Source organism: Homo sapiens, chromosome 7 (assembly GCF_000001405.40).
Source record: "Homo sapiens chromosome 7, GRCh38.p14 Primary Assembly".
NCBI lineage: Eukaryota > Metazoa > Chordata > Mammalia > Primates > Hominidae > Homo > Homo sapiens.
In genome coordinates this window covers 116,837,889-116,855,069 of record NC_000007.14, presented here as the reverse complement: position 1 = coordinate 116,855,069, position 17,181 = coordinate 116,837,889, and the positions used below count along the sequence as shown (strand labels likewise).

The 17,181-nt window shown below is 40.2% G+C and overlaps 1 long non-coding RNA gene across 1 annotated transcript in view; it reads right to left on the bottom strand.

The window, feature by feature from the left end:
• Nucleotides 1-6,591: 6,591 nt before the first annotated feature.
• The window catches only part of LOC124901731 (uncharacterized), a 37,459-nt gene continuing 26,869 nt past the window's right edge, over nt 6,592-17,181 (bottom strand). The window contains exon 3 of the long non-coding RNA XR_007060489.1: nt 6,592-16,474. This is a non-coding gene — a long non-coding RNA (uncharacterized LOC124901731). The remainder of the gene's footprint in view (nt 16,475-17,181) is intronic.

Here is a 17,181-nt window from a genome sequence, read left to right as displayed (position 1 = left end):
ACCGTAAGTGCTTTGACCAGATCTGCTGGGATCACTTTCACTATTTCTGTGCTTCAGTGCTTTTTTCCCTCTGCTTCACAGTACCTGTATTTATTCTTCGGAGGACTGCTCTTGTGCGTCTGGGGCTGCTTTGCCAGTAAGCACAGAGCTGGGATTTTAGGTCCCCTGGCGCAGCTCTTAACCAATGACTGCCAGATGATGGAGTAAAAAGACCCAGCTCCCTTGCTTCAGGTCAGGAAAACTCTGAGGTGTAATTTACATTCCAGATCTTCCTGGGGGAGAAAGCAAGTCTCAACTTTGTTTGCCTTTTCTCTCTTTCCTGGGAATGACTAAAACATCATGAAAAATTCCCAGATTAGCAATATGGGAACAGCAATGGAACAGAAGGCATGTCATACACGTGAGGCCACGTTGGGCTCCAGACTGGAGGTGGGAGGCCAGTTGTTAACCTTGGTGCCAGGTCATCAGGGCTGGCCTGTCTTTGAGGATAAGCTCCAAAATGCTGATTTTGAAGGGTGGTAATCTACTCTTGCTTTAGTTAGGTTAACCCTGGGAACAGAGTATGGCTAATTTTTCAGGTGACTTTAAACGGGGAGAGGAATAAAGAGAGCAAAGCCAGGAACTCACCTGAATTGAGCTTGACAAGGTGCAAAGCAGAGAGGTGGAGTGGAGGAAGTTGTTTTTGTTGTTGTGATTGTGGTTTCTAGAGACAGGGCCTTGCTCTGTCACCCAGACTGTAGTGTAGTGGCATAATCATAGCTCACTGCAACCTCAAACTTCTGGGTTCCTAGGCTCAAGTGATCCTCTCACCTCAGTCTCCTTAGTAGCTAGTACTACAGGAAGGTACCATCATGTCCAGCTAATTTTTTAAATTTTTGTAGAGATGAGGCCTCACTATGTGGCCCAAGCTGGCCTTGAACTTCCAGCCTCAAGTGATCCTCCCACCTTGGCCTCCCAAATTGCTGGGATTACAATGATCTACTGGGCCCAGACAGGAGAGAAAGTCTTAAACTATAGGACATGATCCATGTCCTAAAGTAGCTTACATTCTGGTTGTGAAAGGCTAGAAATCAATGTGTAAAAAGATAACCCTACAAAGCAATTTATAAGTGCAAAATAAATGGCACAAATGAGAAATGTTTCATTTATATATATGAAATTAGAAGTGAAACATATTGAAACAAGGAATAGAAGGAAGAAATGGAAACTTTAAAATTATACTTGTATTAGGTATTTCTTAATTTGCTACAGTGACTATCTGATGACTGAAGTATGAGTTGGAGGCACATTACAATGTTAAACTAGTAATATTTATTTTTAATCAAATTCTTAATACTTCCAGAGAAAATCTAATTCTAAAGATAAGTGTACATGTAACGGCTTTCAATCACTTCTTAGATGAGTGGCTTATTTTAGAAAACGGTTTCTTAATTTCACAATATTTATCATAGTAAGACAAAGTAAGAGATTAATGAATAGTAGAACATATTAGAATACACTGAGTGTATTCTATTATGTTTGGGTTTTGAGAGATATTGAAGAAAGGAACATCTGCCTCTTGGGAAAGTAATTTCCTTTTATGAGAAGGCATCATATTTTCAGCCTAACATATCTATATTTTAACTCATGGGAGAATTAGCTGTGTGATTTCTGTCTACTAGCTAAAGCATTCTGAGCCTCAATTTCATCATCTGTTAAGTGAAAGACGTGTAATACCTAGCTCATTGCATTTTGCGAGAATAAAGTGATGTATATTTTATGCTTTATAAATACAAAAAGCATTGCTATTTTTAATTCATAGAATGATGAAAACTGAATTCTACTCTTTCATCTTCACTGTGATAACTGTAATAAATAAATGAAATATTTTCACAGGTGTTTAAACTTTCATTTAAAGTAAGCATTGAAAATATTTCCCCTAGTTTTGCTTTTGACATTATTCTACTTCGTAATTGTCATAGGTAATAATGTCTTATGAAATAGAAGAACAAAGGCCAAGTACAGAGACTTGTGTCTTTATCCCAGTGCTTTGGGAGACTGAGGTTGGAGGATTGCTTGAGGACAGGAATTTGAGACCAGCCTGGGCAACACAGTGAGACTTTGTCTCTAAAAAAATTAAAAATAATTAGCCACACATGGTGGCATGTGCTTGTAGTCCTAGTTATTTGAAAGAATTGCTTGAGCCAGGAGTTTGACATTACAGTGAGCTATGATTGTGCCACTGCACTCCAGCCTGGGTGACAGAGACACTATCACTAAAAAAATAGAGGACAAAGTATTGGCTTAAAATGCCCAGATTTCAGGCCTGTTTTTTGTTTGTTTGTTTGTTTGTTTGTTTCATACGTAAAAAGTCCAGTGATCTTGGACAAGTCTCTTAACCTCTTCATCTAATTCAGAGTTTTATTGTGAAGCTTCCATGAAATAATGCATGAAAGGTGCTTTGTAAAATAAGTGCCAGATAAATGTAAAGAAATATCAAGGAGTGGTTGCGGGCGCCTGTAGTTCCAGCTACTCGGAGAGGCTGAGACAGGAGAATGGAGTGAATCCGGGAGGCGGAGCTTGCAGTGAGCAGAGATCGCTCCACTGCACTCCAGCCTGGGCGACAGAGCGAGACTCTGTCTCAAAAAAAAAAAAAAAAAAAAAAAAAAAAGGAATACCATTAAAGTACATTATGCCTCGTGACATCTGTAGCCTGTTACTCATCTTTCGTTTGTATATCTAGTGTACTCAAGTTTGGTGATCCATGAGTAGTTCTCCAAAAAACATTTATTGTGCTTCTACTATATATCTGCACTCTGCCAGTCATTGGAGATGTAGCAATGAACAAAACAGACATGGTCCCTACCTTCATAGAGCTTATGATTTAGAGGAGAAACAAATAGTAAACAATCACTCAAATAACTATGCAATTGCAATTGTGATAAGTACGGTGAAAGAAATGTACAAGGTCATTTGAGTACGTAGGTTGGGGAGAGAATTCTCAATAGGTCTTTCACATTCCTGCACAACTTTCAAGAAGACTGATCACCCTTTGCTCTGGACTACCTTTTTAAAGGAAGTTTGCATAGCAAACAGCATTGGAAGATAGCATCACCCTTGAGAGCAAAGCACAAGGATGCTTACTGCCCATATAAGAAACCGGGGCTCCCTAAGCTCAAGGATTCTCTTCTGTAATCCACCTTATTGTGTGTGCAGGCTTCCATCTGGAGCCATCTGTGTTGCCCCATGAGGCACGGGAATGAGAGAAACTAATGCAAATAATGCTGATGCTCTTGATGCTTGATGTGCCACGAGTAATAAAATCCTTTGTCTTTGAATCTGGGGTCTTATGTTTTCTGCTAGCATCCATGAAACTAAAGCAAGCTAACTTACTAGCTTGAAAGTAGAACAGAATCATAGACCTATTATAAAAGGGGAACAATTTTAGGAAGCGGCCTCTGCTTTAGCCTCCCTCCAATTCATATTTTTTCCTTTGGATACATGGTCTTGCTCTGTTGCCCAGGCTAGAGTACAGTGGCGTGATTATAGCTCATTACGTCCTTGAACTCCTGGGCTCAAGTGATCCTCCCTGCTCAGACGCCCAAATACCTAGGACTACAGGTGTGCACCACCATGTCTGGCTAATTTTTTAAAATTTTTTATAGAGATGGGGTCTCACTGTGTTGCCCAGCCTGGTCTTGAACTCCTAACCTCAAACCATCCTCCCACTTCAGACTCACAAAGTGCTGGGAATACAGGTGTGAGCCACACACCTGGACAAGTATTTTTTCTGGATGTGTTCCCTTCTTTGCTAGGTGCATAGGTGTCATCTGGTGTCTCCCTCTCTCGTTCTCTTGGAAATTCCTTTAGTATCCTGTGTTAAATCCGCTTGAGATTTCCTATTTATTTTCAGCATCCAGTGACTTCTACGCTCTTGGTCTACTCATGTTTATAGAATATGTTGCCCAAAAGTTTCCTGAGAAAAAATATCCAGGAGGTCAATTTTTGTAACTGTACGTATCTGAAAACGTCTTTATTTGACCCTTATTTTTCGCTGATAGTTTGGATGGGCATAGAATCCTAGATTGGAATTAACTTTCGTTCAGAATTTTGAAGGCTGCTTCATTGTCTCCAGAATTTTTTTGGTAAGTTCCTGTCGGGAAAAGCCAAATGGGAGAGACGTATAGGGAAGATATGTGCAAAGGGGTGTAGGGCTTTCATGCCCTCTCTGGGCATATCACCCTTCCAGCACCTCCATGTGTTCGTTGGCCATTGCTGATTGACTCAATCTCCAGCCCCTTTTCCCTCCCTGGAAGTGGGGCTGAAAGTTCTGACCCTCTAGCCACGTGGTTGTTGGTTCCTTTGACCACCAGCCCCATCCTCCCAGAGGTACCGACTTAACATAAACTCAGGTGTGGTTGAAAGGAACTTATTACAAATGAAATTATGAAAAAAAATCTTTCACCCCTATCACTGAGGAAATTCCAAGGGTTTTAGAAGCTCTGTGCCAGGAACTAGGGGGTGAAGACAGAATATACATTTCTTATTGCCACACATCACAATATCAGAGACCTATGGGTCCTTCCATTCTGGAAAATCATGTTTTTCTGTTTTGAAAAAATTTCTTAAATTATTTCTTCAATTATTTCATTGATAACTTGCATTCTTCCTCTTTCCCCGTTTTTTTTTTTCTACCCTGCAACTCCAGTTGTTTGAATATTCTTTCTCCTGGATTGGTGCTCTAATTTAAAAAAATGTTTTTCATTCTTATGTTTAATGTATTTTTTTTGGTCCTACTTTTTGAGTAATGGTCCTGACTAACCCTACTACTGAGTTTTTCCTGTTATTTGTTATTGACTCATGCTTATGAGTGCTTGATTAAATAGTTGAATTTTACCTTAAGATGGTATGAATGGGCCATTTTATGATTCTCACCTTGCTTTGGTCAGAAATTGTATAGCATAGAAGACTCTCCTGATCTGAAAGTCCTGGCTAGGAATATTTTAGAAGCCAAGTAGAGAAAGAGGGAAAGCTGTCTCAGCATCCAGTATCCACATGTTCCCTTAAGTCCTGTTTTTGGTATAAGATTTTAATCCTCAACTATGTTCGGTATCCACCAGTCCAGAATCCATTTATTTTGCCCTCTCCAAAGAATACACTTCACCTCAGCCCAGGTGGGAAGGGACAAGTTGCTTCCACACTCCAGCCCAGGTGCAGAAGGGACAAGTTGCTCAGCAGCACAGAGGAGATGGGGGAGACCTGGGAAGCTACTGGCTTCTCAAACAGCCTTCATCTGGACCTCCTGATTTGGGGCCCCACTTCACCACCATTTCCAGAGGTGCTTGGTGCTATCATGTCATGGACCTTTGGGGATTCTGTGGTTACAAATCAGGCTGGTTCTTGGCTTTCACCATCACCAGATTAGGATTTGGCTTTTTGAGGTCTCCAAGTTGGCTACAACCCTCCATCTGCTTTCTGGCCTCAACATTTCGAGTGCTCTTGTCTCTTTCCCTTTTTTCCACGTTTTTTGTGTGCTTGTTAACTTAAAAAAAATTTTTTTTTTGAGATGGAGTCTCCCAGGCTGGAGTGCAGTGGCGCAATCTCAGCTCACAGCAACCTCCGCCTCCCGGGTTCAAGTGATTCTCCTGCCTCAGCCTCCCGAGTAACTGGGATTATAGGTGTGTGCCATCATGCCTGCTAAGCTTTGTATTTTTAGTTGAGATGGTGTTTTGCCATGTTGGCCAGGCTGGTCTCGAACTCCTGACCTCAGGTGATCTGCCCACTTTGGCCTCAAAGTGCTGGGATTACAGGCGTGAGCCACCGCACCTGGCCAAAAAAATTATTTCTAGAGGGTTTAGTGAGGGAAAAAAATCAGACACGTGTTCTGTTCACCAACTCTACCTATGACCTCCTATTCAGTTACTATACTGCAGCTGGAAAGAACATCCTGTTTTGGTTTCATGGATGCATGGATATACTATCTATCACAGTAAGAATATTACTGAGAAGTTTTTGGGGTTTTGTGTTTTTTTTCTAAAATACTGTTTTTCAAAATACAAATCTGATAGTGTCACTCTTTCCACCCTACTTCTATTTCAGCAGCTTCTTTTCTAATGCTTTTAGATAAAGATCAAATTCCTAAGCATGAGTTCCAAAACCATATGGGGGCACAAATTTATGGTGAAATAGACATAATAGACATATATTTTTGCAGCACAGTGTTCTTTGTTTCAAAGTCAAATTGAATTTGAGTGTCTATAGGCAAGGATTGTACTCTCCATTTGACCGTTGGTTTTGCAGCTCCATCTTGTTGAATACATGGTCATTTTACACATTACCTCCCCAGGCATTTAGGTACTCAAATCATTCACCTCTGCCTTGCAGGTTTTGGTGTCACCAGCTCATCCTTTACTACATTCCCTCGTTTTCTCAGCTCTATCACTGGACTTCTTTTGTTTCTTTGTAAGCCCCTTGATCACTGGATGATATAAAGTCAAGTTGAACTATTTGATGCTTTTTAGGTAGCAATAAAATATTTTCATTATTTGAGTTTTGCAAATGAAAGCAAAAAACTAACCTTAGAATACAAACAAAATAAAAAACAACCCAATGTTTTGCAATGATTTGCCTGGTTCTTTATTAGGCATCCAGGTTTTTGTTGGGGGTACAGCAACGATAAGCAAACAAACGCTCCAAAAAAGTGATATAGTAAAACAGTAATATCAGAATGTGAAGATATACCCTTTAAACACTTTGATTCTTAAACCCAGTACACCTGGATAGTCTGAAGAATAAAAATGGAAGGTAGAAATGTTGGAGGCCTATATAAGTGGAAATATGATTTGGGATGATTAATTGGATTCTCTTCAGTGATAAATATTTAAGATAACCATGCTGCAATGTCCTTGATGGATTAGATATCCTAAAATTACAGATCATTTACTCAATTGTTGAACATGAAAGTGAACATTCATTTGTCTTGTATAAAAAAATTCTAATTCTAGTAGGCACCCTCAACAAGATAGTCATTGAATTCTAGATTAAATCACATTACACTATCAATATTATAATTCTGCCACATTGCATAACCCTAACTTTAATAGAATGATAAACCTTGAAACAATTCACACACACAGACATGATTATCACACACTTATTAGCAAAAGTAACAAATTTGAAACATGTTATATAAAAATAGGCTCTGTAATCAGTAACTGGAACCAGTACTTCCAAATTAGGCCAAATTTTTATCCAAATGAACTTTTGAAGAGAACCATTCATGATGCTTGTGAATGTGAATCATAACATTCCTCTCTACCTTCCCTTTTTTTTTTTTTTTTTTGAGACAGAGTCTCGCTTTATCGCCCAGGCTGGAGTACAGTGGCACGACCTTGGCTCACTGCAACCTCCACCTCCCAGGTTCACACCATACTCCTACCTCAGCCTCCCAAGTAGCTGGGACTACAGGTGCCCGCCACCACGTCTGGCTAATTTTTTGTATTTTTAGTAGAGACAAGGTTTCACCATGTTAGCCAGGATGGTCTCGATCTCCTGACCTCGTGATCTGCCTGCCTCGGCCTCCCAAAGTGCTGGGATTACAGGTGTGAGCCACCGCGCCCGGCCTCTACCTTCCCTTCTAAACATCAGTGAAATTGGTTATTTACACTACAAACATTTGAAACTTTAAGGGAAAGTATTCTAAACTCCTAAAAGAGCCTCATTTATAGGTAACTATATCCCATTGAGAAAGAATACATTTACTGTACCAGTGATTAAAACAGAAGGTAGGTTTTCTTTATTTTACAATTGCTTATCACCTAAAAGACTGCCTTCTGCTTTCCTTTTAAAAAGATAAAAAGTAGGAGGAGCAAGAAAAATAATGTACAATGCTAAGTATATTTTTGTTTGTCTTCATGGTTGACAAATATTCATTATGACAAAATAAATTTAATTTCTGTGCTAGCTATAATTTTTAGTTATAAAGAACAATGATAAACTCAAGTTACCTCAATTCTGAAGTATTTATTACAAGGAAATGGGGGAATTAAGGAAGATGGGGGGTCTCAGTCAGGTGATGAGGTATCAAGAACAGGAACTCCTCCATCTCTGAGCAGGAAAATAAGAACCTAATTGTGCCTGAGCTTCCTGGAGAACAGACTCCTTCTGGACTGGCAAGATCATTCCAGACAGGCTCAAGGCAGCTTTAGGTTATCTGTTCACCCCGGCAGTCCCTACTCTGCTGAGCCATTAACGTGACTCAACTCCTTCCTGGCCCTGCTGCTGCCCCTTCCAAGGCTATAAATTAATTAACTTACTTCTACTTCCCTCTGCCCAGCCCCTTCTTATTTGTCTGGAAAAGCAAAAATAAATAAAAAAGATGAACCAGATGAAATGTGGTTGGAGGGAGGTAAGTACCACTCAACTGGTCTCCTGTTCATTCGAGAGGCTTCTTGGTTACTCAAGGGTTTTGCTCCCTCAGGCTCCCTGCTGGTTCATGACTTTGTGTGTCTCCATTTCAAACTTGCAATAAGGAGAATCTGATTGGTAGAGTTAGTACCTGTCATCTCTGCTGGGCAAAGATCTCATTCCATATGGCCTCATAGTCTACTCTTAGGTGTCATTTTTCTTATTAAATGATTAATACATGGTACTTATGAAGTGACATTCTGAAAATATTTTTGATATTGAAAATATGTTTTTATACTTTAGAAGCCTGGAAACTACCATGCTATAGCATAGTATTTAATTGTTGGTAATCTGTATCTCTGATGATTTGAAAGCTAAACTCATCTCTGGAGATAAATCAATTCTGTGCTTCTTCAAATAAATTATATTCTGTTTATTAGAATCCAATTGATAATATGTAACATTTTCCTTTCATTGATAAGTGATTACAGTGATTTTCATCTTGGAAAACATTAATAATTCTACAGTCCTTGTTTTTAAAACACAGAAGCATATTTTTAAAAATAGACTTTATATTTTAGAGTAGTTTTAGGTTCATAGAAAAATTGAATAGATGATATATTTTCCATATATCTTCCGCCCCCACACATACATAGACTCTTCCATTATCAACATCCCCACTAGAGTGGTACATTTGTCACAAATGATGAACCTACATGTACACATCATTATCACTAGAATCCACAGTTTACATGATGGTTCACCCATTATACAAATGGACAAATGTATAATGATATATGTCTATCACTATAGTATCATACAGAGTAGAGCAACAGGAACCCTAAAAATCCTCTGTGCCCTACCTATCTATCCCTTCCTCCCACTTATCTCTGGCAAGCACTGATTATTTTTTTTTTTCTGTCTTTAAGTTTTACCTTCACTAGAATGGCATATAGTTGAAATTATACAGTGTGTAGCCTTTTCAAACTGCCTTATTTTACTTAGTAATATTTATGTAAGTTTCCTCTATGTCTTTTCATGGCTTGATATCTCATTCTCTTAGCACTGAATCATATTCCATTGTCTGGATGTACCACAGTTTATTTATCCATTCACCTACTGGGGGTATCTTGGTTGCCTCCAAGTTTTGGCAATTATGAGTAAAGCTGCTATAAGCATCTGTGTGCAGATTTTTGTGTAGGCATGTTTTCAGCTTCTTTGAGTAAATATCAAGGAGTGTGGTTACTGGATCACATGGTAACAATATGTTTAATTTTATAAGAAACTGGCAAACTGTCTTCCAAAGTGGCTGTACCAATTCGCATTCCTACCAGCAATGAGTAAGAGTTCCTGTAGCTCTACATCCTCACCAGTATTTGATGTTGTCAGTGTTCTGGATTCTCGTTGTTTTAACTTGCATTTCTCATATGATATGGAGCACCTTTTCATATGCTTATTTGTCATCTGTATGTCTTCTTTGGTGATGTGTCTTTTAAGGTCTTTGGTTCTTTATTTTTTAAGAGGTGAGGTCTCACTCTGTCGCCCAGGCTAGAGTGCAAGTGGCACAATCATAGTTCACTGGAGCCTTAAACTCCTGGGCTCAAATGATCCTCCTGCCTAAGCCTCCTGAGTAGCTAGGACTACAGGCATGTGCTACCACATTAGACTAATTTTTTATTTTTTGTAGAGATGGGGTCTCGCTATGTTTCCCAGGCTGACCTCAAACTCCAGGTCTCAAGCAGTCCTCCCTCTTAAAGGCTGGGATCACAGGCATGAGCTACTGCATCTGGCCTTTGGCTCGTTTTTTAATTGTTGCGGTATTTGGGTTCTTATTGCTGAGTTTGAGGCTTATTTTTCAAAATACAAGTCTAATAATTCTTCTGTTTTCTGGAACAATTGTATTAAAGTAACTTGTAAGATGATAAGCCTCCTAAATAAATCCAGTGCTCATGGGAGGGAAGGATGATAGCCCAATGAAATATAAGAAATTATATGACACATTTTAGTCAAGTTTAATTTTCTCTTGGCTCTAGCCATTCCTTTCCTACAGCTAGAGGATTCTTGGGTTTCACTTTTTTTTTTTTTTTTTTAAAGATGGAGTCTGTCTCTGTCACCCAGGCTGGAGTGCGGTGGCACGATCTCGGCTCACTGCAAGCTCCGCCTCCTGGGTTCTCGCCATTCTCCTGCCACAGCCTCGCGAGTAGCTGGGACTACAGGCGCCCGCCACCATGCCCGGTTAATTTTTTTGTAATTTTATTAGAGCCGGGTTTCAAAGTGTTAGCCAGGATGGTCTCGATCTCCTGACCTCATGATGTGCCCACCTCAGCCTCCCAAAGTGCTGGGATTACAGGAGTGAGCCACCTCGCCTGGCTGGGTTTCACTTTTACTTCTCCTGCAGAGGTGGTAATGCGTATGAAAGAAAGCAGAAAAAAAATACTTGCATACTTACATAATTTAAGATGCGTAACGCTTGGAATGTTTCAATTTCCTACTTAAGCAAAATACTAAATTCATTTTTGTTAATTTTAGTGAAAAAATAAGAAAGAGTATATTAAGAAGTCAAGAAACCTGTATTGGTGCCAGATCAAACATTGCAAATCAAGGCAGTGGCTCCACTGAGGTGACGTGTCTTGCAATTTTGATGTTTAATGGGGACTGATCTGGAAACCGAAATAGTGGTTAGCCTGGAATGGCTCAGGATAATTTATTGTAACTCAAATTTGTATTCAAACTAAGTAGGCAACTCTGGCGGATCTGAGATGGGAACAAAAGACTACGTTTCTCCCCTTAGAAGTCACAGAGAGGTTTACATTTCATAAAAATTATCTTGCATTTTGCTGTGCTTGTTGATACATGTAAAATCCAGTTGTGAGGTAAACAGGGGATTTTGAGAGAGCTGAGATTCTATGTAAACAAAACTTATATGCGTATTTTTGACTGCTAATTCAGAATTGTATTTGTGAGTGTCCAGAGCCTACTGGGAGATGAGAACGGTCTTCTGAGGCTTCCTTTGGCTGGGTTGGAGAAGGCTAGGAGCCTGGGGTGTGGCACACTGACGGAGTAGAGGGGAAAGAAGAGTGAATAGAAACAGGAAAAGGCAGAGCTCTTTTCCCCACCCTCTGTGGCTTACAGAAAAGGGAAACTGGACCCACCAAGTGCAACTGCAGGAGAACCAGCATTTCAGTGGTGAGATAAGCCCTCACACTAGCGCAAGCAGAAGTGCCAGCAGCCTGAAAGGGTTTTAACCCTAGGTTGATCAATGTAAATCTTAGAAAGCCACTTCCAAGCCCTGGGAAAGGTGTCTGTACCCAAATCCAAGAGGCAGGAACAGATGTGGTGGAACATTGGAAGCAAGATGATGAGTAACATGAATTGCTAGTCAAGCATCTGAAAAAAAGAGCCCTCAGTTATATTTTAGAGTTTATTTTTAAGAAGGGTTTGCTCTAAAAGTACTGTAGGAGAAATAAACAGGTAACTAGAGGGGACCCTGAGAGTAGCCACAGAAAGTCTTTTTGAGGAGTGCCAGTTGAGCTGAGGCCTGATGGATGAAATGAGCCAGACAAATGATGGGGATAGGAGGCAGAAAGAGGGAAAGAAATGCAAAGGGAAGAAATGGGTCACATTCTGGATTCCACTCTAACAGATCCAAGTCACTTTCCTGAATAGCTTACTGTATAAGTGGAAAGGTGACTAGTTATAGGAGTGTTACATGTTGGAGAAATGGGTAGGATTCAGTTTACATGGACCAAAACATGCAATAAGATCACTTCGGACCTCATTTTTATCATCATTCAATGATGCTTTCTTATGCCTCATTTTGCTTGACTTCTACCAAACACATTTCTGTCAACATGTAAGACATTTTTTCATATGCTGCCCTGCCTGGTCTTGAACTCCTGGGCTCAAACCATCCTCCTGCCTCAGCCTCCCAAGGTGTTGGGATTACAGGCATAAACCACTGCACTCTGCCTGTCCTACATTTCTAGCTGTTTATAAAACAGCTCCACCTGGATGTGATAGGCTTACTTTCCAAAACAGAAGACAAAATTCATGTTCCTTTCAGTATGGATTCTCTTCCTGACTTCCCCATTTGTGTTGGTGACTCCTATTGTCCTAGTGATGAAAATCTCAAAACTTTGTAGTGGCCAGGCATGGTAGCTCATGCCAGTAATCCCAGCACTTTGGGACGCAGAAGTGGGAGGATCACTTGAGCCTAGGAATTTGAGACCATCCTGGGCAACATAGCAAAACCCTGCCTCTATTTTTAATGTAAAAACAAAAATACTTTATAGTAACCTTTGCTTCCTCACCCCACTGGAGATTCAAATTCTGATGCAAATCATTGTGGAGTCTCTCAGAGTCATTTTTTCCTTCCCATTTTTACTGTTAACACTCATACTTTTTATCCTCCTTACTTTTCACAAAGATGATTTCAAATGTCTCCTATTAGAATTTTCACTGTATAGAGATTCTCTTCCCTGTGTTTTACCTTGCTCCTCTGCCAGGCTGTTTAAGAATCTACATGATTTCCATATGGTCTATTGGATTAAGAGAAAAAAATTTTAAATAAGATCTAGTAATTAGTCCCATTTGCTAAACAGTTTTCTCGTTCACTTTTCTCCAAACTGCATTCTCTGTCCATGTTATATTTGACATGCTTTGTGACATTGCCAGGATTCCTTCCATTTCTCAAAAAAAAAAAAAAAAAAAGAAAAGAAAAATAAAATCCCCTCTCGATCTCAAGTGAAACCCCTTTGGACCAGTTGTTCTCAAATATTAGTTCGTATTGAAATCACCTGGAGGGCTTGCGAAAGCCGATTGCTAGGCTCAACCCAGAGTTTCCAATTCATTAGAGGGTCAATAATTTGCATTTCTAACAAGTTCTCAGATGGTGCTGATGCTGCTTGTCAGGGACTGCCCTTTGAGAATCACTGATTTAGACCAGTACGTCTCAGCCCCAAGTTCCACATTAGATCACGCAGTGTAGGGTGTAGTGGATGCTGAGACTCTGCCCAGATATCCCTCCCAGGACTAAGATGCTCATTTCCCCCAGTGGCTGGGTGTGTCGGTTGCTGATGGCTCCAGCCATCTTCTCTAAGGATTATCCTTGTATATACCTTCTGTATCATGCCCCCCAGGTTGAGATTCAAAAAACAAACATCCACAGTTTTTTCATAACATTCTGCTGTGTCCCTTCCCAGTTAAGTCACTAAAAGATGACTGTCGACTGCCGTAAATTAGTTTTACCTATGTTCTTAAAATTTTAACAATTGAATTACTCAGTATGTACTCTTTTGTCTTCTTTCTCTCAATAAAGTGCCTATGAGATTCATCTACCTTGTTCCATGTGTCAGTAGTTCATAATTTTTATTGTTGTCTAGTATCCCCTTGTATCAATGCACTACAATTTATTTATCCATTCTCCTATTGAGGGACATTTGTGTTGTTTCCAGTTGTTGGATATATGCATTGTCAATCTCTTCAATCAGTCTGTGGCTTGTCTTTTCACTTTCCTGGTGATGTCTTTTAATAGTCTTATTTTAATTAAGTTAAACATTTTTTTCTTTTATGATTATCTTTTGTTTTGTCTCTTCAAGAACTCTTTTCCTACACCTGAGGCTTTAAAAGATACTGATGGCCAGGACTCACTCAGACCAATTAAATCAGGATTATGGGCATTTTTAAAAAAAGCTTCTCAGGTGATCCTAAAGTATAACTAGATTTGAGAACCAGAAGACTCAGACTGTGAGCTTCTTGAGGGTAGAAATTGTGACTGCTTGTTTATACAGCTCAGGACTCAATGCTGGACACCGTGGTGCTTCATAATCACCGGGTGATTTTTGATGAATTTAATTCATCTCTCCAAGATCATCTCAAATTCCATGTTTTCTAAGAATCCTTCACATTATTACCAATAGTCTTATTCTCAGAATATTTTGCCCTATAAGTGTTTCTTAATTGCTGTTATTAGTCCATTTTCACACTACTATACAGAACTACCTGAGACTGGGTAACTTATAAAGAAAAGAGGTCTAATTGACTCACAGTTCCACCTGGCTGGGGAGGCCTCAGGAAACTTACAATCATGGCGGAAGTCAAAGGGGAAGCAATACATGCCTTACATGGCACAGGAGAGAGAGTGCAAAGTGGGAGGTGCCACACACTTTTAAACCATCAGATCTCGTGAGAACTCACTCATGAGCCATCACTAGGGCGATGGTACTAAACAATTAGAAACCACCCCCATGATCTAATCACTTCCCACCAGGCCCCACCTTCAACACGTGGGAATTACAGTTTGAGATGAGATTTGGGTGGGGAGACAGAGCCAAACCATATCAATTGCTTTAAGTATTTACACCTTCTCTCCCCAATCAATTTGCAAAACTGTTAGGATAAAGAATGTTTACGGGAAGCCCTTATTGTCTCTTTCTCCTGTTTCTATGAGGAGATTTGGCTCCAATCTCTGGAAGGAATATTATCTTTGTCCATATGGACTGCTATAACAAAGTACCATGAACTGGGTAGCTTATAAACAACAGAAGTTTGTTTCTCACACAACTAGAGGCTAAGAAGTCCAGGATCAAGACACTTGCAGATTTGGGTTTTGGCAAGGGCTTTCTGCTTCATAGATGATGTCTTCTTGCTGTGTCTTCACGCTGTGGAAGGGGCTATATAGCTTTCTGGGGTCTCTTCTATAAGGACATTAATCCCAATCACGAAGGCTCCACCCTCATAATGTACTTTCCTCCCACAGGCCCCACCTCTTAAATATCATACCTTTGGGGTTAGGATTTTAACATATGAATTTTGGGGAAATGCAAACATTCACACCATAGTAAACCATTTTGAAATATTATTTCCACCTCCTCTCTCCATCCCCTCATCTTTCCTCTTCCTCATCCTCCCTCCCCTGAGAAGTAACTAACATGCTGGTAAGATGGAGAGAGAGAGTCCAGTGGACTTCCCACTCCTTGGACAGTGAAAACCAGGATTCCTCTTATTCTCTCTCTTCCCCTACCAGCTGTTCATATCACTAAGAGGATGCCAGGGCCCTCTTGGCCTCTTCTATGTAGTTAAAATATGAAGTTTAGTTAGCCAATTAAACTTCTCTACCTGGATTTGGTTGGAGAGGTTATATTCATGCAGATTCTGAGGTTCAGGGTATCAAAGTATGATGAGACTATCATCCCATACTAAAAATAAAAAAGACAAAATCGAATGGATTGTTAAGCATAGCAAAGGAAGTACAGTCTCTTGGAGCAGACCGCTAATTTATATAGAGTCTCACGGAAGTGTGAAGTTCAGTGACTGGCGAAGTTGCAGAGGCTTAAGAGCTTCAACATCATCCGCAGAGGTGTGGGTACACAGATGAGGCTATTGGTAATTGGTTGTCACTATAGTGTATTTATTGAGGTGAGTCTGTGATTGGCTGGCTTTCAGAAGTAAGCAGCTAATGCTGATTGTAAACAACTTGTAAAAGCTCTTCACCAAAGCAAATTGTTGTTGCTGGCTTGACCAGGTTCCAAACTGGTTCTGAGTGCCACTTATTGATATGGCTATAGGGCAACCAGGCCTTTCCAAGGGGGTGGGAATTTATTTTCTTCCCCATTCAGCTTTACTGGTAGTAAAGCTGGCACTGTCCTTTTATCATCTTCAGGCTCCTTGTGCACGTTTCTCCAACCGGTTAGAAGCTGGAGAGAAGAAGTGATTGGTGCTGCTAAACTTCCCAAGGCCAGGAGGATTAGGGCTGAAATAGGCCACTTATAGCAGGAAGGAACTTATGAATTCATTCAATTTAGAGAGTTTTCAAACATTTCAAAACAATGCAAACACCTCTTTAAGAAGAAAACTTAATGTAACCTATGAACTAGCACCCGTCTCCCCTTTATCTAGGACATAGGGAGAAAGCAGATGTTTCTGTCTTTCACCCCCAGTAAGGTGGTTACTTGGAAGCTGAAAGTAGATGTCTCCCAATCTTCTGCATTGATTCTGGCTTCGCTGTGCACCTCGGTCACTTTGCTGCTGGTCATTTCCTTGAAGCCCTGTGCGCAGGCCCTGGTTGGGATGTGATCTCCTCAATCTGGGGCTAGATAGGGGAAGAGAATGTGGTATAATGCAGATTTTGATTCAGTAGGTCTTAGGTGGGGCTAGAGATGATGCATTTCTACCAAGTCCCCAGGTGATGCCCATCCTGTTGATGTGCCACCACAGTTTGAATAGAAAGGGATCACATTCATAGGCAAGGGATCATTAGGAAAAACGGGAGGCTGTGGACACAGCTAAGTCCACAACACATTGCATGGACTTGACACTTAAGGTGGAGTCTAAGCTGGGCTTGGGGTCTGCACAGCAGGTCCCCGTTGTGACCCTTTCACTGCAGTGAGTTGCAGTCATCAGGACAGATTTATGACTTTGGGGGGCTGTGGGCACTTTGCTTTCATAAACCCTGTCCTCGTAAAAATATTAAAAATTGTATTTTATGACTACACTGGCCCAAAGAGGAGTGTAATCCAGGCTGAATTCATTATTATATGTAATTGTATATATATATACATGTATTTGGATTTTAATAGAAATGAAAGTTACAACATTTTTGTGGGCCCCTAAAAGTGTCATGGGCCCTAGGCACCGTGCCTAACAGAGAAGTCAACTATAGTGAGTCTGCCTGCTGGACCAAACATACACAACTGCCAGGAGAAAAGCACTTTTCAGAAGCAGTGCTGTCTAAATTACTAAGAAGCATAAAAATGTTTTCTTAACTGCCTTAAATTTGCAAAGCATCTCCCTTTCTGT